We start from the raw sequence: 23,602 nt of genomic DNA, 5'->3' as shown, positions 1-23,602 counted from the left end.
ATAAAATTATTATAACTATAAAACTATGTTATTGAATACAAAAAGTAAAAATATGTAATTTGTGATGTTAATAACACAAAGTGGGGGAGACGTAAAATGGCAGAGTTTCTGTACACTGATGTAGTTACATAGTTATCAGCTGAAAACAAATTGTCATAAGTATAAAATGTTTTTTATAAGTTCCTGGAAACCTCAAAGAAAATACTCACAGATGGCATAGAACAGAAAATGAGAAAATACTGGAAAGATATCACTACAAAATATCAACAAAACACAAAGGAAGGCAGCAAGAGAATAAGAGGAGAAGAAAATAGCTATGTCAAGAAAGTAAACAGTACCAAAATGAATGCAGCAAGTCCTTCCCTATCAGTAATTCCTTTACATGTAAATGTATTAAACTCTCCAATCAAAAGAGGTAGAGTGGTTGATTGATAGGAAAAGAATAAAACAATATCAAACTATATGCTGTCTATAAGATACTCACTTTAGATTGAAGGACACACATAGACTGAAAGTAAAAGGGAAAAAGTTGTTGCATGCAAATAGCATCAAAAGAGAGTACAGGTTGCCATACTTATTAGACAAAAAGTACTTTAAGTGAAAACTCTTACAAGAATATAACGATAAAAGGGCCATTTATCTGAGAATATATAACAATTATATATGCACTTAACATAAGAGAACCCAAATATATAAACATTAACATAATTAAATGAAGAAATAGTAAAACAATAATAGAGTATTTCAAACCAAAAATTAAATAATGGAAATAAAAAAACAGTTTAATGAGGAAATAAAGGATTGAAAAATATTAATAGGTCAAAAGACATATTACACTGAGCAGCAACAGAATACACATTCATCTCAATAGCAAATGAAACATCTTCCAGGATAGATCACATGGTAGGTCACAAAGCAAATCTTAACAAATTAAGAAGACCGAAATCGTAACAAGTACCTTTTCCAAACACAGTGAAATGAAACTAGAAATCAATAGTTGAAACTTGGAAAATTCACATATATATAGAAATTAATCAACACACTTTTGAACAACAAATGTACAAAATGAAATCACAAAAATAATTAGAAAACATCTTGAGACTAATGAAAACAAAAATAAATAAAACATACCAAAAGTTATGGAATGCAGCAAAAGCAGTACTATGAGGGACACTAACAGCAGTAACTACAACCATTGAAAAAGAAGAAGGATTTCAGATAAACAACTTAACTCTGTGCCTCAAGAAAGTAGGGGGGAAGGAAAGATGGTCAGCTAGACACAGACAAGTGGAAGACCTCCCATGGAGAGACTGAGGCAACTGGTGTCCTTTCAACAGATCTTCAGAGGGAAGGCACTGAAAGTGGACAGAGGAAAGACACAGGAGCTGGGATTAAGGGGGAGAAAGTTGGAAACCCTGCATGGGCTGCCACACACTGGGATTCATTTTTGAACCACAACCACCTCAGGAGAAAGGGTGAGTTGAACTGGCAAGGAGCAACCCACTCTCATCACAGGCCTCTGGAAGCCTGCGAAGGAGACCCATCGTCCACCATGGACACTTGAGGTGGTAGGGAGAACTACTTAGAGAACTGGTGGAACAGCAAGGCCACTGATGTAGAGGGTTTGGTGCAGGAGTGTCTGTAGTTGAGCATGGCCAGCGATAGCCATCCCTATAGGCTTGACTTGCTCCCATAGGAGACTTTAGCCCTAGGGGAACTGTCAGACCCAATCTCTGCAGAGCGGTCTTGCTCATCCAACGGGCCTGGTCCGACCTGAGCACTTCTTGGTCTATTGGTCTTCCCAGGGCCCCAGCCTGGCCACACCTGCTTACAGGTCAGTCTTGAGTGCCCTAGTGGCCCACACCATAGCTTCCATGCTGGCAGGCTATGCCTTACCAGCGTAGAGCTCCAGCAAGGCGGCCCCTAGGGCTGTGCACCACCCCAGATGTACCCTCCCCATACTGCAGCTGGTGCGTGTCTGCAAGAGTGGGTTTTTTTTCACCTGTCCCATCAGCACACATGAGTGTAGTCTCCTCCCTCTGTCCCCCAGGACCACCACTGCAGTTGGAGTCTTGGCAGGCACAGAACCAGCAAGCCCTACCTCCACCAGCATCCAGCCCTACCTCCACCAGCATCCAGCCCTCGTGCTAACACTTTGAAGAGAACAGAGGATCCTCTCACACCCTGAGGGATCACTCCTGTTTGTGAGGCACAGAGAAGGCACCCAGACCTGTACTGGCCAGCACCCAGCCCCAAGGCAACATCACCTCCAGTTCAAGAGCGCACAGTATCCAGAAGGCGCCCCTTGCCCCCCTCAGCTGCCTTGCTTGTGCCACTGTGGTTAATGCCTGCAGTGACGCAGCCACCCCTACATCCACTAACACTCTGCTGAAGCTGCTGCACCTTAGGACTGCCAGCGCAGTGGACTCCAAACCTCAAGGAGCCAGAGAACAAAGTCGGGGCTCGATACAAGTCCCCCAGAGTTAGAGCACACAGCCCAGGAGTTGGGAACTGAGTGTTTGCCTTCTAACATCTCCCAGAAACAAAGCCAGTTGGCTGAATCAACCTTATGCCACAATCACGCACTCAAGATAATCAAATAGGAGAAAATAAAAGAAAAACCCATCCAAAGGTCAGCGATCTCAAAGATTGAAGGTAGATAAGCCCACAAAGATGAGAAAGAATCAGCACAAGAATGCTGAAAATTCAAAAAGCCATCTTTGACAAACCCACAACCAACATAAAGTGAATGGGAAAAAGCTGGAAGAACTTCCCTTGAAAACCAGCACAAGACAAAGATTCCCTCTCTCACTACTCGTATTCAACATAGCATTGGAAGTGCTCACCAGGGCAATCAGACAAGAGCAAGAAATTAGGGGGCATCCAAATAGGAAGAGAAGAAGTCAAACTATCCCTGTTTGCAGGCAAAATGATCCTATATCAAGAAAACCCCATAGTCTCAGTCAAAAAGTTTCTTAAGCTAACAAACAACTTCAGCAAAGTCTTAAGATATAAAAATCAATGTGCAAACATCACTAGCATTTTTATACACCAAAAACAGTCAAGCTAAGAGCCCAATCAAGAATGTACGACCATTCGCAATGGACACAAAATGAATAGAATACTTAGGAATACAGCTAACAAGGAAGGTGAAAGATCTCTATAAGGACAACTACAGACCAGTGCTAAAGGAAATCAGAGATGACACAAACAAATGAAAAAATATTCCATGCTCATTCATAAAAAGAATCAATATTGTTTAAATGGCCATACTTTTCAAAGCAATGTATAGAACCAGAAAAACTATTTTAAAATTCATATGGAACCAACAAAGAGCCAAAATAGCCAAGGCAATCCTAAGCAAAAGGAACAAACCTGGAGGCATCATCCCACCTGACTTCAATCTATACTATAGGGCTACAGTAACCAAAACAACATGGCACTGGTACAAAAACAGACACAGAGACCAATGGAACAGGATAGAGAACTCAGAAATAAGACTACATACCTACAACTATCTGATCTTTGACAAACCTGACAAAAACAAGCAATGGAGAAATGATTCCCTTTTCAATAAATAGTGCTAAGATAACTGGCTAGCCATATGGACAAGATTTAAACTGGACCCCTTCCTTACACAAGATACAAAAAATAACTCAAGATAGATTAAAGACGTAAATATAAAACCCAAAACTATAAAAACCTTGGAAGTAAACCTAGCAATATCATTCAGGAAATAGTCACAGGCAAATGTTTCATGACAAAGATGCCAAAAGCAATTAGAATAAAAGAAAAAATTGAGAAATGGAATCTAATTAAACAAAAGTGCTTATGCACAGCAAACAACACTATCAACAGCACAGACAACCTACAAAATGGGAAAAAACATTTAGACAAAGTTCTAAAATCCAGAATCTATAAGGAACTTAAACAGATTTATTAAAAAACACCTAACAACCTCTTTAAAAAGTGGGCAAAGGATATGAATAGACACTTTTCAAAAGAAGACATATAGGTGACCAACAATCATATGAAAAAAAGCTCTACATCACTGATCATTAGAGAAATGCACATCAAAGCCACAATGTGATACCGTCTCACACCAGTCTGAATGGTCATTATTATAAAGTCAAAAAATAACAGGTGCTGGCATTAGATCGTCAAGGCAGAAAACTAGCAAATATATTTCTGAACTTAAACTCAACACTTGACCAATCGGACCCAGTAGATATCTTTAGGATACTACACCCAACAAACACAGAATATACACTCTTCTTATCTACTCATGGCACCTATTCTAAGACCAACCACATGCTTGGCTATAAAGCAAGTCTCAACAAATTTCAAAAAATAAAATAAAATCACAATAAGCACACTCTCACACCACAGTGCAATAAAAAAATAGAAAGCAATTCCAAGAGGATCTCTCAAAATCATACAATTACATGGAAGTGAAACAACTTTTTCTTCAATGACTTTTGCGTAAAGAACAAAATTAAGGCAGAAATCAAAAAATTATTTGAAATTAATTAAAAAGACGTGATATAACAGAATCCTTGAGAAACAGCGAAATCAGTATTAAGAGAAAAGCTTACAGTACCGTATTAGTCCATTTTCACACTGCTATCAAGACATACCTGAAGCTGGGTAATTTATAAAGAAGAGAGGTTTAATTGACTCACACTTCCACATGGTTGGGGAGGCCAAACTTACAGTCATGGCAGAAGGGGAAGAGGCACGTCTTACATGGTGGCAGGCGAGAGAGAACAAGTGTGTGTGAGTGCGGAAAAATACTACCATTTATAAAACCATCATATCTGAATATTTGCTCACTATCACAAGAACAGCATAGGGGAAACTGCCCCCATAATCAAATCACTTCCCACCACATCTCTCCCTCAACACCCGGGATTTACAATTCAAGATGAGATTTGGATGAGGACACAGCCAAACCATATCAAGCACTAAACACCTACATCAAGAAGATAGAAGGATCTCAAATTAAGAACCTAATGTCACACCCAGAGGAACTAGAAAAACAAGAGTAAACCAAAATCTAGCAGAAGAAAATAAATAACCAAAATTCGAGAAGAACTGAAAATTGAAACATTAAAATACAAAAAATCAATAAAACCAAAATTTGTTTTCTGAAAGAATAAATAAGAATAGACTACTAGCTTGAATAACAAAGGAAAAAAAAGAAGATCCAAATAAGCACATCAGAAACAACAAAGCTACATTATAATTAACCCCATAGCAAAAAAAAAAAAAAATCCTCAAACAATTATCAACTCTTATAAGCACACAAACTGCAAAAACTAAAAGAAATGGGTAAACTCCTGGAAACACCCAACCTCCCATTATTGAGCCAGAAAGTAACTGAACCACTGAACCAACCAATAACAAGTTCTAAAATTGAAACACTAATAAAAAAACCCTACCATCCAGAAAAGAGCTATGGGCATGATGAAGTCACAGCCAAATTCTACCAGACATGCAAAGAACTAGTACCAAAAATCCGTAGGACAATCTTTCTTCATTTTTAACCTTTTAAACTATGTAGTCATTTCTGTAACTGTAATTAATCACGAAGGGATAAATATTTGAATGGGATACAGCAAACTGAATGCACTATTTTTTTGAATTCTGTATAAACATAAATGTGAAAGCATGCCTAATATGTACTTAAATACCATTTATAATCCCACACATAACCTCTTTACATTCTTTTAAACACAGATTTTCATTCTCTGTAAAAGATTCTCTATAAACCCCACAGAGATTGTAAGTTGAGTAAAAGGGACTGAATTTTCTCAGAAACTATTAAGATCTTTTCTTGTTAATAAGCAAAGCGGCAACTGAAAATGGCTCTCCACCAGTAAAGACTGTGAAGTTCCACTTCCTCTCTATTATACAAACAACATGTTAACAACCACTTGCTATAAAAGACCAAAACATATTTTTAAAACAATGGCCTGGAAACTTTGGAAGGAACACCGGGGGAAGCCACTAAGGCTACCATTAGCAGTGAGATAATAGCGTACCAGCATCCCAAAGCAACAAAAAGCAGCCCAGCATGTAACTTATGGTCCAATTTGATCACGGAGATGGGAGAGCAATGCATTTCTGAACCAGACCCCATAAAATGAAGCATTTTATGTTAATATCATATTAATTCTACAAGAAGTTTGTGCTCCTCCAAAATGTGGCTTTTTGGGTTAATGATAGTCAACACTTATCAAATAACTATAGCATGAATCTAGAGAGTCATTTATCTCAGATCATGGATTTGTTAATAAATTCAGATGACTTGAGATTAGTCCCCAGAAGCTATAAGGATGCACTTCATCCAAGAACTCACCTAGAAGCAAATAAAATTAGATATTATAAGTGTCAATTTTAGATAGAAATGTCACTCAAGGTAATATTAGAAACAAGAAACAAGTCCCTTAACATTGAAATGAATCTAGGTTCAGAAAATTTTCTCTCCTAAATGTAACTTTCAAGGGGATTTCTTCCATAATTTGTGGTTTTGTCTAATGTTTTAGTCAGGAAACTAAACCAAAATTTATTCAAACTCTTTTCTCACAGATTTTGGTCCCTTTGAACTTATATTTTATAATTTAGAAAAAATATTTTTAAGTCACTACATGGTTTGAATTTTCTCATCTCTGCAATGTAAATCTAGATCTTTTTCTAATACATAAAACTCCCATATATTAAATGATAGGTAGAGATCAGAATACTCAAGGCCTTACAATTTTGGAGTTTATCCTAAGGATGATATGTTTAAAAATTACAACAAATAATATTTACTGAACATCAATTACATACCAAGTATTATAACAAATTACATGGACTGCCTTATTTACAAAAACCTTATGAGACAGGTACTATTTTACAGATGGAGAAAGAAATATTCATTAAGAAGTAATTTGAGTAAGTTCATATAATCAGTGAATACCCAAGTGGGGTTTCAACTTTGGCTAACAGAACCCACAAACCATAATCTTAACAGCTCTATTAGTAAGATATTTGCTATGTACTTCTCAAATACATATGGCATACTTAGTATAAAAAATGTAAAAAGATCACACTACATTCTGTTTTTTCTTGTCTATTATCTTTTGATTGAATTATAAATTTAAAGCTATTCATATGAAAGCCTTAAAAGATTTTTTAATTAAAAATGATTGTAGATTTATAAGCAAGAATAAATTGATAAGAAAAGCTGCAGTTAATTTAACAGTTTATTGTTGTTTCCTTTAAATAGATAAAACACAGTATAGGAGGGGGATTCACAATGTCTAAATAGAGGTGACCGGGACTTGCCTTCTCCAAAAAAGAACAACTTAACAGTGAGCTAACCACACATTAAATAGAGCTTCTAAGAGAGAACACTGGAATTCCAAAGTGAAGTGACAGGGAAACTCTGAGGCACAGAACAAGAGGGAAGCAAAGCAACCAGCCCCACTGGAATTGGCTTGTAGCCAGCAGGAACTCCCTATTGCTGGGAAAAGGTAAGCAAGATATCTCCAGCCGTCAACATTCGCACCTTGGATTCTTAGAATTGTAGCCACAGGAGAGCACTTCCAGGCCCTAAGGTTAGTACGCAGAGGTGCGTGGAATCCACGTGATGGTGTTGTTCCAGAGAGAAAGCTCACACTGAGTCCCACACAGCCCCTGAGACCCAAGCATCTGCAGCACAGTGCCATTTTGAGAGTCCAGCACCCCAGACTGCATCCTGCCCTAGGGTCCAATAATCCCTGCATTTCCTCATTTCTGAAACCCCACTGACATCTCTCCACATACACTCAGAGGGCTGCAGTATCACACCACCAACTGGATCCAGTGGTGCAGGAGGGTCCCCAGCACTCTAGCTCACACAGTGTCTTACACTCTGGGTAATGGATGGTTCAGTCCATCTGGAAGGCTGCCTCCAGGACAAAGGGAACCAATGTGTATGCTCCCCAGATCCTGAGAGTTGTTTGCCTGGGACCACTGCCATTGATAGCAATCCTTCCCCTACCAGTGGCAGGACTACCAGGCACCTGCAAATGCCGCCAGGGGAACTGGGAATCAATCTAATCCATCCGTCACTACTAAAGACCACACATGCTGATCAGTGGCCTAAGAATAAATCTGTACCACTGATGACCACTACTGCCACCAGAGACCCAGTAAACCATCTGGAGGCTTAGGGATCAACCTGCCCTGCCTGCCACATCAGGCACCTGTACACATGATCCAGGGACATGAGGAAAGATGTGTTCCACCCACCATCACCACCCCCCAGTGCCCACAAATGTTATCTGAGGCCTAGAGATAAATCCACCCTGCCACTGGACGCTGGTGCTCTTGCACATTCTCAAGGGCTTGAGGACAGGTATGTCCCACTCAACATGACCACCACCCACAAACGTTATCTGGGTTCCTGGGGATTAATGCAGCCCAGCAACCACCACTGGTACCCATCTACACCTTCTGGGGACCTAAAAATAGGCCCATTCAAGCCACATCCAGTGACTGTATGCACATCCCAGGGGCCAAGTGACCAGTCTACCCAGCCTACCGCCACTGGTGCAGTCTCTGGCACTCTCCTTTAGGCACCACCTCATGGCCTTGGAATAGTCTGTCCAGCCTGCTGCTGCCACTACTGGTGCTCGTGTGCTCTGCTCAGAGGCCCAACGGTTGACCTACCACTGCTACTGCTACTGCTAATGCCTGGACAACACGGTGAAACCCCATCTCTACTAAAATGCAAAAAATTAGCCAGGCATGGTGGCACACACCTGTAATCCCAGCTACTCGGGAGGGTGAGGCAGGAGAATAGCTTGAACCCGGGAGGTGGAAGTTGCAGTGAGCTGAGATTGCACCACTGCACTCCAGCCTGGGTGACAGAGCAAGACTCCGACTCCAAAAAAGAAAAACAAGAAAGAAATGCCTAAAAAAATAGAAATAATGTTATCAAAAAAGCTCAGTAAGATAAAGACAATATGGAAAAATAATACAAAGAAACGAGAAAAACAATTCAGGATATAAATGAGAAATTCAACAAAGAAATAGACATCTTAAAAAAGAAACACATGGGAACTCTAGAACTAAAAAATTAATGAATGTAATAAAAAAATACAAACAAGAAAATATATGAGAGAGAGAGGAAGCAAAGTGGCAGAATAGAATGCTCAATTGATAGTCCCCCATGTGAGGACACCAATTTTACAACTATTTATACAGAAAAGAAAAAAATATATAACTTCATAAGAAACAAAAATCAGGTGAGTCCTCAGAGTACTGGTTTTAACTTCATATCACTGGGATAGGCAGTGAGGAGACAGAAAAAGTAGTTTTGAATCATTGACATGACTACTTTCCTATCCCCCAGCAGGATTGGCATGGTGTGGAGAGCATCTCAGGGTACTGGGGGAGAGAGAGTATAGTAATTGTGAGGCATTGAACTCAGAGCTGTGCTGTTAGAGCAGAAAGGAAAACCAGACCAAACTCAGCTGACTCTTGCCCATGGAAGGAGCATTTCTAGCTGAAGGGGACTTGCCATCCCAATGGTGAAAATTTGAGTTCTTACATACCTTGCTCACCACTGAGGGCTAAAGTGCTCTGGGTCTAAAAGTAAACCTCAAAGACAGGAGAGGCCACAAGGACTGCGACGCTGAGGCAAGTCCTAGTGATGAACTGGGCCAAGAGACAGTGAACTTGGTTGGTGACGGGGTTGGGGGTGGCCTGTAACCTACTGAGACTCCAGCTGGGGTGGCTAAGGAAGTGCTGGCATGACTCCTCCCCTAACCCCAGGAAGCACAGCTCACAGCTACAAAAGACACCCCTTCCCTCTATTTGAGAGGAGAGAAAAGACTGGGATGGACTTTGTCTTGCATTTTGGATACCAGTTCAGCCACAGTATAATAGGGCACCAGTAAGAGAAATGAAGCCCCTGTTCCAGGCACTAGCTACTGGAAGAAATTTCTAGATAACATCTGAGATACAAGGGAATCCACTGACTTGAAGGGAAGAACCCATTCCTAGCAGTATACATCACTTGTTAACTAAAGAGCTCTTGGGCCCTGAATAACCAGCAGTGATACCCACGTACCATGTTGAGGGCCTTGAATGAGCCTCTAAGACATAATGGCTTCAGGTGAGACTCAGTGCACTACCAGCTATGGTGGCTATGGGGCAAAATTCCTTCTTCTTGAGAAAAACAGAAGGAAAAGTAAAGGGCACTTGGTCTTGAACCTTAGGTACCAGCTCAGCTGCAGGATGGTAGAGCAACAAGTGAGCTCTCGGGGTCCCCAATCCCAGAACAGGGGGCATAAATGGCATTTATGGACCTGTCCAGGGCCAGATGGGAGCTCACTGCCCTGAAAAGTGACTAACAGGCCAGGCAGCATTCACCAGAAACTGACTTACAAGTCCTTGGGCTTTAAAAATACATTGGTGCTAGTCTGGCAGTACTCCCTGTTGCCTGTGGTGGCAGTGACTACGGAGCGAGGCTCCTCTGCATTTGGAAAAACGTGAAGAGAGTGGAAAGGACTGTGCCTTGTAGTTTCAGTGCCAGCTTAGCTGGAGTATAATAGAACATGAAGTAGATTTCTAAGGATTTGACTCTAGTCCTTGACTACCGAACAGCACCACTGGACCAACCTGGGACCTCAGGGAATTTGCCACTCTGAAGAAATGGATATAGCCCTGGCTGGCTTTCATACCTGCTGATTATAAAGCCCCAGAGTCTTGAGTGAACATTGGCAGTAGCCAGGAAATGGTTACAGCAGGCGTTGGGTGAGACCAAGCACTGTGCTGGCTTCAGGTCTGATCCAGTGCAGCCATAGTGCTGGTGGCCACAGGGGTGCTTGTATCACTTCATCCAGCTTTAGGTAGTTCAGCTCAGAGAGAGAGAAACTCCATTTGTTTTGGAAAAAGTAAGGGAAGAGAATACATGTCTCTGCCAGGTAAACCAGAGAATTCTCCTGGATCTTGTCCAAGACCATAAAGGCAGTACCTTTACAAGTCTGCAAGAACCACACTGGTACTGGACATAGGGTACTCCCTAAAGCAGATACAGCTTAGATCACAACACCCAAGTCATTTTAAATATCTAAAAAGACTTCCTAAGAATAATGGCTACAAATAAGCCCAGAAAGTAAAAACTACAACAAATACTTAACCCTTCAATGCCTAGACACAGAAGAACATCTACTATCATCAACATCATCCAGGAATACATGACTTCACAAAATGAACAAAATAAGACACCAGGGACCAGTAATGGAGAAACAGAGATATGAGACCTTTCAGAAAGAGAATTCAAAATAGCTGTGTTGAGGAAACTCAAAGACACTTAAGATAACAGAGAGAAGGAATTAAGAATTCTATCAGAAAAATTTAACAAAGAGATTGGAGTAATTAAAAATAAGCAGAAACTCTGGAGCTGAAAAATGGCATACAGTATGCAACTGGCATACCGAAGAATGCATCAGAGTCCTTTAAGAGCAGTATAGATCAAGCAGAAGAAAGTATTAGTGAGCTAGAAGATGGGCTAATTGAAAATACACTCAGAGGAGACAAAAGGAAAAGGAATAAAAAACAATGAAGCACACCTATAGGATCTAGAAAATAGCATTGAAATGGTAAATCTAAAAGTTATTGGCCTTAAAGAGAGAGTAGAGAAAAAGACAGCAGTAGAAACTTCATTCAAAGGGATAATAAAAGAGAACAAACCTAAAGAAAGATATAAATATTTTTTTTAGCTGCACTGAAGCAGAAGCTTTATTTTTATTATTATTATTATTATACTTTAAGTTTTAGGGTACATGTGCACAGCGTGCAGGCTTGTTACATATATATACATGTGCCATGTTGGTGTGCTGCACAGAAGATATAAATATTTAAGTACAAAAAGGTTATAGAACACCAAGCAGATTTAACCCAAAGAAGACTACCTCAAGGCCTTTAATAATCAACCTCCCGGCTGGGTGTGGTGGCTCGTGCCTGTAATCCCAGCACTTTGGGAGGCCAAAGTGGGCAGATCACCTGAGGTCGGGAGTTCGAGACCAGCCTGACCAACATGGAGAAACCCCGTCTCTACTAAAAATACAAAATTAGCCAGGCGTGGTGGCACATGCCTGTAATCCGAACTACTCGGGAGACTGAGGCAGGAGAATTGCTTGAACCCGGGAGGCGGAGGTTGCATTGAGCTGAGATTGCGCCATTGCACTCCAGCCTGGGCAACAAGAGCAAAACTCAGTCTTAAAAAAAAAAAAAAATCAAACTCCAAAAGGTCAAGGATAAAGAAAGTATCCTAAATGTAGCAAGATAAAATATATAAATATCATACAATGAAGCTCTAATACATCTGGCAGCAGACTTTTTAATGGAAACTTTACAGGTCAGGAGAGAGTGGCATGATATATTTAAAGTGTTAAAGAAAAAAAGTACTTAGTTTCAAATGGTATATCTGCTGATAACATTGTTCAAACATGAAGGAGAAATAAAGACTTTCCCATACAAACAACAGCTAAGGAATTTCATCAATACCAGACCTATCCTACAAGAAATGCTAACGGTAGTATTTCAATCAGAAAAAAGGATGTTAATGAGCAGGGAGAAATTATCTAAAAGTACAAAACAAATTCAATGTCCCTTCAGAATAAAACTTCTCAAAAAACTGCTTATAGAATGAACATATGTCAACTTAATAAAAGCTAAATACAACAGACTCACTACTAGTATTATACTAAATAGGGAAAATATAAAAATTTTTTCTCTACAATTGGGAACATATCAAGGATGCCCACTTTCACCACTGTTATTCAACATAGCTAGAAGTCCTGGCTAGTGTAATCAGACAAAAAAAAAGAAATAAAGGGCATCCAAATTGAAAAGGAAAAAGTCAAAGTATCCTTGTTTGCAGACGATATGATCTTATATTTGAAAAAAACTAAAGACTACACAAAAATACTATTAGAACTGATAAATTCAGTAAAGTTACAAGATACAAAATCAACATACAAAAATCAGTAGCATTTCTATATGTCAAGAGTGAACAATCTGAAAAAGACATTAAAAGGTAATCTCATTTACGATAGCTACACATAAAATTAAATAAAATTAAATACCTAACAATTAACTTAACCAAGGAAGTCAAAGACCTCTATAATAAAAACTGTAAAACACTGATGAAATACCTTGAAGAGGACACATAAAAATGAAGATATTTCATGTTCATTGATTTCAAGAATTAATACTGTTAAAATGTCCATACTACCAAAAGCCATCTACAGACTAAATGCAATCCCTATCAAAATACTAAGGATATTCTTCACAGAAAAAGAAAAAAAATCCTAAAATTTACATGAAAGCACAAAAGACACACAATAGCCAAAGCTATCCTAAACAAAAAGCAGAAAACTGAAAAATCACATTACCTTACTTCAAATTGTACTATAGAGTTATAGCAACCAAAACAGGGTGTTACTCTCATAAAAACACACAGACCAATACAGCAAAATAGAAAACCCAGAAACAAATCCACACACCTACAGTGAACTCATTTCTGACAAAGGTTCCAAGAGCATACACTGGGAAAAACACAGTCTATTCAATTAATGGTGCTTGGAAATTAGAAATCCATGAGCAAAGGAATGAAACTAGACCCCCTTTGCCATATATAAAATCATACGAAAAGGGATTAGAGATTTAAATCTAAGATCTCAAACTATGAAACTACTAGAAGGAAGCTTTGAGGAAAATCTCCAGGACATTGGTCTGGTCAATTTTTTTTTAGCAATAACCTACAAGTAAGGGCAAGGAAAGTAGAAACGACAAATGGGATCACATCAAGTTAAAAAGCTTCTGTAAACAAATAAAAAATCAACAAAGTGAAGAGACATTCCAGAGAATGAGAGAGAATGTTTGCAAATTTACTGTCTGACAAGGGATTATTAACCAGAATATGTAATAAGCTCAAACAACTCTATTGAAAAAAATCAAATAATCTGATCAAAATATGGGCAAAATATTTGAATAGATACTTCTCGAAGACATACAAATGACAAATGGGCATATGAAAAGGTGCTCAACATCATAAATCATCAGAGAAATGCAAATCAAAACTATAATGAGATATCATCTCACCCCAGTTAAAATGGCTTATATCCAAAGAAAGGCAGTAACAAATGATAGTGAGGATGTGGAGAAAAGGGAGCCCCTGTCTACTGTTGACAGGAATGTACATAAGTAAAATCACTATGGAGAACAGTTTGGAGGTTCCTCCAAAAACCAAAAATTGAGATACCAGTATGATTAAGCAGTCCCACTGCTGGGTATATACCCAAAAGAAAGAAAATCACTATATTACAGAGATATTTGCCCTCCCTTGTTTACTGCAGCACTGTTCACAATATCTAATATTTGGAATCAACCTAAATATCCATCAACAGACGAGTGGATAAAGAAAATATGGTACATATACACAATGGAGTACTATTCAATGATAAAAAGAATGATATCCTGTCATTTGCAACAACATGGATTGAAGTGGAGATCATTATGTTAAGTGAAATAAGCCAGGCACATAAAGAGAAACATTGAATGTTCTCACTTATTTGTGGAATCTAAAAATCAAAACAATTGAACTCTGGACATAGAGAATCGAAGGATGATTATAAGAGGCAGGAAAGGGTACTGGGGGGTTGAGGGGGAGGTGGGGAAAGTTAATTGATACAAAAAGTAGAAAAAATGGATAAGACTTACTGTTTGCTAGCCCAGCAGGGTGACTACAGTAAATAATAACTTCATTGTACATTTAAAATAACTTAATTGTACATTTTAAAATAATAGAATGTTATTGGATTGTTTGTAACACAAAGAATACATGCTTGAGTGGATGGATACTCCATTCTTTACAATGTGATTATGTTGCATGCCTGTATCAAAACATCTAATGGACCTCATAAATACATACACATACTATGTACACACAAGAATTAACAATAAAAAAAACGTAATTGAGTACTTCAGTAATAGAATACATCTAGCAGTATAAAGGATTTCTGAAATTAAAGATAGGTATTTTGAAATAACAGTCAGAAAAAGAAGAAAGAATAATAAATTAAAAAGATAAAAAAAGCCTATGAGACATATAAAAAAACATAAAGCAACCAAATATTAGTTTTAGAAATTCCAGGGAAAAAGATGGGCAAAGGCATAGAAAATTATTTCATCAAGAGAATAGCAAAAACATTGCAACTCTCCACAGGAAGCTCAAAATCTCTAAATAGATTCATCTCAGTAAAGTTTTCTCCAAAGCAAATTAAAATCAAAATGCCAAAATTCAAAGACAATGAGAGGATTCTAAAAGCTACAAGACATAAGAAACAAGTCACATATAAGGGAATCCATATTAGACCATGAGCAGATTTCTCAGCAGAAGTCTTACAGGCCAGGAGAGAATGTGTAATATATTTAAAGTGCTGAAAGAAAAAGTGTCAGCCAAGTATAATATACCTAGCAAAGATGTCCTTAAAATGGAAGGATATGTATAGTCTCTCCCAGACTAGCAAAAAATGAGGAAGCTCATCACCACTAGACTGGTGCTAAAATATGCTTTAAGAGCCCTAAACCTGGAAGTAAAAGGGCAATATCCACCATAATGAAAACACATGAAAATATAAAACTCACTGGTAAAGCAGATGCACAAATGAAAACAAGAAAGAATTGAAAAGTTACCATTACAGAAAGCCAACAAACATAACTATAAACAATAATAGAGAAACGATTATTCCTTATTGAATAGAGAAAGAAATAAAGGACATTCAAAACAACCAGAAAACAATCAACACAATGATAATTATAAATTCTTACCTATCAATAATAATAGTGAATGTAAATGGATTAAATTTCCCACCTAAAAGACACACATTGGCTGAATAGATTACAAAAACATGACTGAAGTATATGATGTCTACAAGCAAGCCACTTCATCTGTAAAGACACAGAATAAACGTAAAAGATTGGAAAAAGACAGCCCTCACAAACAGAAATCCAATGTGTGCAAGAGTAGCCACACTAACATAAAATAAAACAGATTTAAAGTAAAAAATGATAAACAGAGACAAAGGTGGTTACTATATAACGATAAAGGGATCACTTCAGCAAGAGTATATAATGATTGTAAATATATATTCACTGAACACCAGAACACCCAAATATATAAAGCAACTTTTATTAGATCAAATGTGAGAGGAAACTCCAATATGAAAATAGAGGGACACTTCAACATCCCAATCTCAGCATATGACATATCATCTAGATCTAGACAAAAATAAATGACCAAAAAACATTAAATTGCATTTTGGAGTATATGAACTCAACAAATATTTACAGAACATTTTATACAACAGCTGCAAGGTACACATTCTTCTCATCAGCACATGGAACATTCTTTAGGATAGATCACATGGTAGAACACAAAATAAGTCTCAGGATTTTTTTTTAATTGAAATCATGTCATGTACCTTAGACCACAAAAGAATAAAACTAGAAATCAAAAATAAGAGGTACATTGGAACCTGCATGAAATTAAATAACCAGATCTTAAATGACCATTGTATTCATAAAGAAATTAAGAAGAAAATTTTTAAATTTCTTGAAATAAATAATAATGGAAATATAATATACCAAAACCTATGAAATAGAGCAAAAGCAGTGGCAAGAGAAAAGTTTATATAAATGCCTACATCATAAAAGTAGAAATATTACAAATAAAACTCAAGAAAATAGAAAAGTAAGAACAAACCAAAATCAAAATTAGTAGGAATTCAATAATAAAGGTCAGAGCAAAACTAAACAAAATAGGGACAAAGAACAATACAAAAGATCAATGGAACAAAACTTTGTTTTTTTGAAATGATTCACAAAATTGCTAGAATACTAGATAGCTTAACCATAAAAAAAGAAAAAAGAAAACGTCCAAATAAATAAAATTACATATATAAAGGAGATATTTTAACAGATCCTACATTTAAAAAATTTAAAAATTATAAATGACTATGTTTAAAGTTAGATAAAATCCAGAGAAAATATATACATTCCCAGAAACATATAGTCTACCATGACTGAACTGTGAATAATTAGAAAACCTGAGCAAACCAATAGTGACTAATAAGACTGAATCAGTAATAAAAAAGCTCCAAACAATGAAAAGCCTAGGGACAGACAGATTTACAGCTGAATTCTACCAAACTCATAAAAAAGAACGAAAACCATTTTTTTTTTCTCAAAGTGTTTCAAGAAACTGAATAGGTGGAAAATGTTCTTAATCCATTGTACCAGGCCATAATTTCTTTGATATAAAAGCCAAGTAAGGATGCAAGAAACCAAAAACTATAGGCTAATAACCCTGATAAACATAGATGCAAAAATATCCAACAAAATACCACTAACGTGAAGCCAACAACAAATCAAAAAGATAATACAGGTGAATCTAGCAAAGATGGCAGATAGAAGACAGGGCTAACATGCAGCTACCACTTAGATAGACAGAACAGTGTGTAGAGACTCACACCATGAACTTTTGCTCCAAGAACCATCACAGAAATGTACCAGAAAACTGAAATAATTTACAGGTCCTTTTAAAGAAGTGGCACACTATTGCAAATTCCATGAGACAAGTGAAAAACTGTGAGTTCCCAAAGTGTGAAAGGGAGAAAGCCTACCTTCAAACACATATCCCCACTAGGGAATCTGAAAATCCAGATCATGGGAAAAGGATTTAACCTTACCTATAGCTGAAACAGATTTAGGGAGTTGCACAAAATACAAAAGTAGAAACAGAAGCAAGAAGAGACTTGTAGGCACTTCCAGTCTCCAGCTCGTTCCCAGGGAAGCCATCCCAGACTATATCTCACAGAGGCCCTTGGGGAAGGCAGCCAGCAGGATTAGGGAGGGGTCACAGTGTGAAAGACGCTTCGAACTAAATTCGTAATAATTTCAACTGGGCATAAATTTTCTTGAGCAGAATCCAGGGGGCAAATGAGAACTGATGCAGATACGAGTACAGGGAGACACAGCAAATACTGCGGGTAGATGAGATAGGGGGAGGCCTGAAAGGCAAGCTTGCTTTCTCAACAGGGAAGCTGATAGCTTGGGGCAAGATCTGAGCAGGGCACTGTGGGAACAAGACCACCTTGCCAACCGCGTGGAAGCTGAGTGAAGTTTTTTGCTACCAGCCATCCTGGACTTCTCTGGCAAATTATATAACACAGCAGAGGCAGCCATAATAATCTCCAGAGCATAACCCCATTGGCCTGAGAACCACATCCCCATCCTTCACAGTGGCCATAGCAAGCCCTTCCCAAGGAGAGTCTGAGCCCAGACCCACCTAAACCTGCCCCCAGCCGATGGTATTTCTCTACCCGCCCTGGTAGCCAAACACAAAAGACATAAACTCCTGGGAACTTTATGACCCCACCCACCACCTGAGAAACCAGAATACTTTCCCTGGCCAACTTAGGGCAAGCTTAGATCCTTCTGCTACCATTGTGGCTGGTGCTCTCTTGAAAGCACCACCTCCTGGTTGGAGGCCAGCTACCTCAGGCCATTACAGCAACTCATGACAGAATAACCCTGCTCACAGGGATGAAAAACAACAGCCAATTCCACTGCCTGCAACCTCTTGGCTACCTGAAGACACTCAAAAAGATATAAGGGTATAGATAATTTTAAAGCAAAGCAATTACCGTATCCTGAAATACCATGTGTTGTCTGTCCCAAAATGGATTTGTATGAGTAAAAGTGAGCATACACCTTTCACAGGGTGAAGGCATCATCTTGGTTCCCACTTCCTCTTCACCTTCACTATTTTCCTATTTTATAAAAGAAAGCCTTCCCTTTGACTAATTATATTAGAGTTGTCCAGTGGTTTAATACCTATAGGTTTAACAATTCAACAGTTTGCAAAATTACTGCTTATGTTAAGGAAATTAATTCCACCAGTGACTAGGTATCAAAGCATTTTGCAATTTGAGGGATTTCCAATTATTTGCTTACAACAAAATTGAAGAAGGCCTCATTTAGTTACAAAAAGTGGCCGGGCGCAGTGGCTCACGCCTGTAATCCCAGCACTTTCGGAGGCCGAGACGGGCGGATCATGAGGTCAGGAGATCGAGACCATCCTGGCTAACATGGTGAAACCCCATCTCTACTAAAAAATACAAAAAAAAAATTAGCTTGGCGTGATGGCAGGCGCCTGTAGTCCCAGCTACTCAGGAGGCTAAGGCAGGAGAATGGCGTGAACCTGGGAGGCAGACCTTGCAGTGAGCCGAGTTCATGCCACTGCACTCCAGCCTGGGCGACAGAGCGAGACTCCGTCTCAAAAAAAAAAAAAAAAAAAAGTACAAAGACTTGAGAAACATTGCTGTAACATCATAACTGTATTATCATCTATTTGTTTATGAAGAGGTTTACTCAGCACTTATCCCTATTAAATGAGAAAAAAAACAGAATATTGTGTTTTGACTCACTGTAGCAATAAGTAATATCTATCTACAGATACATAATAAGTCAATTGAAAAAACAAAAGCGTAACTCATCCATCTCATTTAGAAATAATTATAATAATTTTTATACTTTGGTTATTTCCCAAAATTGATGAAAGATGCATGTTGTTTTGACCTATTGTTTACTACTAAGAATTACAATTGGCAACCAAACAGAAGAAAATTTAGCATTTAGAGATTTATGGTAACTGAAAATTTACAAAATATAATTTCAATTTAGATACATATTATTTTGCTGAAGAAACTTAAGTTGCTTTGATCAATAAGAATTTTCAAATACAAAATGTATTATATTAAGTTTATGTGAAAGAAGTGCACTGTTTATATAATTACAAGGGGGAAAACAAATAATACGTAATTTCAGATTTTGAAATAAGAGTTTGTTTATTCATTATATTGTGTAACAGTTTGGTTGTATCAGATCATTATGGAATTTGGATGATCTGAGATATTTTAAGCAAATGTAACTGTTTTATTTAAAATGACAATGTATGCAATATGCCAAAAATTCTATCTTTTGCCACTTCTAGATAATAAAACTTAGATAATAAAAATATATGACATCATAAATGTGCAACATCTAAAATGTTCTTTAAAATTCTTTTAGAGAGGACATGAACAAAAGGTTCATGAAACTGAAATAGAGGGGTTGAGCCATCAAAGAAAAAAAGTGTGCCTCCATCTATGTTCCCATTATGTGAAGCGTTTGAAGTGCCATTAAAATACTTCAGCCTTTTCTGCTTGTATGTCTTCTGTTTTGCATAATATAATTCATTGTTCAGTATTCAATTTCAGGATATATTCAGCCCAGTGTGGAAACATGGAAATTTCTTTATTGTTAGCTTTTATGCATGGCCCAATATCACAGATAACACTAAACATAATAGAAATTATAAAAAGTTAAAATATAATAGGCATAGTGAATCTTACTGGAATATTTTTAAATGTAAATATCTTTCATTTAAAGAGATTAAACAAATGGCACTATACCTGTTATAATAGTATAACTTTAAAAATTTTCATGCATAAATAACTTGCATGTGCTATGCTGTTTATGTGCATCTCTGTGAATCTATGTATGCATGGGTGTGTGTATGTGTACATGTGCCTGCCTATATTATTTATTTTATCTACCCAATAAAATAATAACAATTGAAGATTTGTTTTATTACTTGTAAAGTTTCTGAAATTACTCATATTTTTTGAGATTTATAATTGAAATTGAATGCAATACTCCAAACCTGTATTTTAAATTTGACAATTTACTATATTTCAAGTTAGTTTTAAAAATACTACGTGCTCATGTTAAAGAGAATGATATACATTTCTTATTTATGTTGTACATTCACTTCAAGATTCCATCATCTTTAGTACATATCTGTACAACTGATTCTTATTCCAATGTGTCTATAAGAAGGTAGCAAGATTTAGAATAGCTCACTATTAACATATAAAACTTCCTCAGAAATTACATCTAAGTCATTCGTTTATTTTCATTCATTCCTTTTAAACCAATTCAAAACTTTCTAAATTAAGTCAATCTTAAACATTTTAGCTTTTAGATTATCTAGATCTATTAACATAAGTTCAACATTTTTCTTATACTAAGTAAAACTATAAAATTATTTGGCAAATAATTTATATTACATTTGTTAATTGCTTCTGTTTTATTTGTGTATCTTTAATTTACCCAGATGGAAATAATTTTTTTACCTCTTGTTTCATTGGCATGGAAAACCCTACCACCATGACTTTTGTCCAAATGTAACTGAGTTCATATGCTATCTCCTCCTTCAAACTTCCCTTGAAGCTTTCCTCCCCCAAACCACACCACAGCTGAAAATAATACTTCCTCTAAATTCTACAATTGAAAATATTTTTCTCTAAACTCCCAAAGCTCTAATTTTTACTTTTTATTATAGGATTATAAGGATTATAATATTTAGAACTAAATTCCATATATTAGTCTACAAGTTTTTGAAGACAGAATGAATGTTGAGCTAATTTGCATCCCCAACAGGCCCACAGTGCAATGTGATGTACTATGACACTAAAGAATTATCCAATAGATTAGTAAAAATTAATAGATGGAAGAATGATTCCATTCCTGTTAAATTTTAATGGTCCCCAATATTTTTCCAGTTGCAAATGCTAATTATAATAATATGTGCTCATTATATTTTCTATTTCAAAGAATGAATACTTAATTTCTAATTTTTTGATTAAGATACAAAACTTACCTCCCATATTGTTTGCCAGCAATTGTTTCAGGCCTGATCCAGAGCCAGTCAAATTTACAGAGAAAATAAAACAGCAACTTTCCTACTTTCCATAAAACTTTCATTAGTTATTGTCATCCCTTAGGAATTCCCAAGTATTCATTCTTTCTAGCTTCATTAAAAAAATTCTACTTCATAAAAACTAAAATGTTTACTTTTTAAATAAAATTGTACTTATACATAATAGATGTACATGTGTTTGAGGTACACGTGAAAATTTGATATATCCATATGATCAAGTGGGTGTAATTTGTATATCCATGACCTTAAACATTTATATATTTGTATTCCAGAAACATTTGAATTATTTTCTTCTATTTTGAAATGTACAATAGATTAATGTTAATTATAATCACCTACTGATCTATCAAACTAAAGATCTTATATTTTCTATCTAACTATATATTTGTACCCATTAATCAACTTTGCTTCATCACCCCTCCAGTAAGTTTACCAAATAATTAATCTACAACTATAAATGTTCAGGCAACAACAATAAAAAATGACATTATTATTACTAATAGAATTAGTAAAAGTTTACCATTCATAAAGCATTATATGTTTTACTAAAATTATAGCATTTAATGGTCATAGCAATCCTAAGCACTATTACCATCTCCATTTACTGTAAAGAAACAAACTCACAATGCTAAAGCCTTCTCTATTATTTCTCTGGTTTTCTTGACAATAAATTTTCCTTATATTATTCTGGTCTTCTGCTACACTTCTTTGCCTCTCAACAGTGGCTAATTGAATTGTCAGATATACCTTGGTCCAAATCTATGAATTTGGTGATGTTAATGTATTGAAATTCCTAAACTTTGAAAATTTGCACTCTACTCTCCTTCTCAACCCCCTCCTGCAGTGAAAGGCAACAATTCTGTGCAAGTCTTTCCTGAAGACTCAAGCTTTGCCTGCAGTAGACTGTGCCAATATCTAAATTGGTGGGGTCAGGAGTATCATGAAGCTCATTATTGCCACATATCTAATTCATATTCTCCAGCCCAGGTTTTATCAGCAATTAAACTGATATATTGTTTTCTATGTGCAGAACTCTGGTGACTTTTTCGATTATTGTTATTTATAGATGGCCATAAAACTACAAAGGTTGTAAATATGAAGTGTTAGAATCATGACTCAAACCCAAAGAATCTGAGCCCAAAGACCATGCCCTTCCTGGGCTTGTACTTTTAAGGATATTATCTTATAAGGTAAGAAGGTGGAAAAAGAAACCTGAAGTTTCATCATGGCTTTTTCACTGTGGATGCATTACCATGAGAAGTTTCTATTGGACTTTTTTCTTGAATACACTACATCTTAAAACATTCTACTTTAAAAAAACATATTCTATATTGTTTTGATTTTAAATGTAGAAAAAAACAAATAAAAAAATAAAAGGAGGTAGGAAATCTTCCAAATGTCTAAAAAGATGTTAAAATATTTTTAAAATTACCACTTAGCTTCTATGTCAACTAGGACAATCTAAAATACTAAGAAATAAAGACCGCCAAATATATAGATGTACACTGGACTAAACTAGAAGTTTATTTCATGCACTCATCAGAGGTGAATAGCTGATTGGCTCTCCTCACTAAGATGCAATGAACAAGGCTCTCTGCATCTTATCTCTACCATTATCTAAGTCAGTGCCCTTCAATAACAGATTTTGCAATAATGACAATATAACCTTTATATTTTTGAAATGTGGCTAGTGTAAATGAGAAACTTAATTTTAAATTGTATTAAATTTTAATT

At 36.7% G+C, this 23,602-nt stretch overlaps 1 long non-coding RNA gene across 1 annotated transcript in view, besides 1 other annotated feature; it reads right to left on the bottom strand.

The window, feature by feature from the left end:
- The window catches only part of LOC105373153 (uncharacterized), a 350,749-nt gene that overhangs the window by 257,803 nt on the left and 69,344 nt on the right, over positions 1 to 23,602 (bottom strand). The gene's annotated exons all lie outside the window — the stretch shown is intronic.
- Positions 1,425 to 1,924: an enhancer, noted in NCBI's record as "H3K4me1 hESC enhancer chrX:33835505-33836004 (GRCh37/hg19 assembly coordinates)". NCBI's record gives its function as "activates a minimal SCP1, AML or CMV promoter by ChIP-STARR-seq in primed H9 embryonic stem cells {active_cell/tissue: H9 hESC(primed)}" and the evidence as "EXISTENCE:reporter gene assay evidence [ECO:0000049][PMID:30033119]".

This window comes from Homo sapiens, chromosome X, assembly GCF_000001405.40.
Source record: "Homo sapiens chromosome X, GRCh38.p14 Primary Assembly".
NCBI lineage: Eukaryota > Metazoa > Chordata > Mammalia > Primates > Hominidae > Homo > Homo sapiens.
Note: the sequence above shows the minus strand (reverse complement) of the source record. Positions and strands in the feature narration are given on the sequence as shown.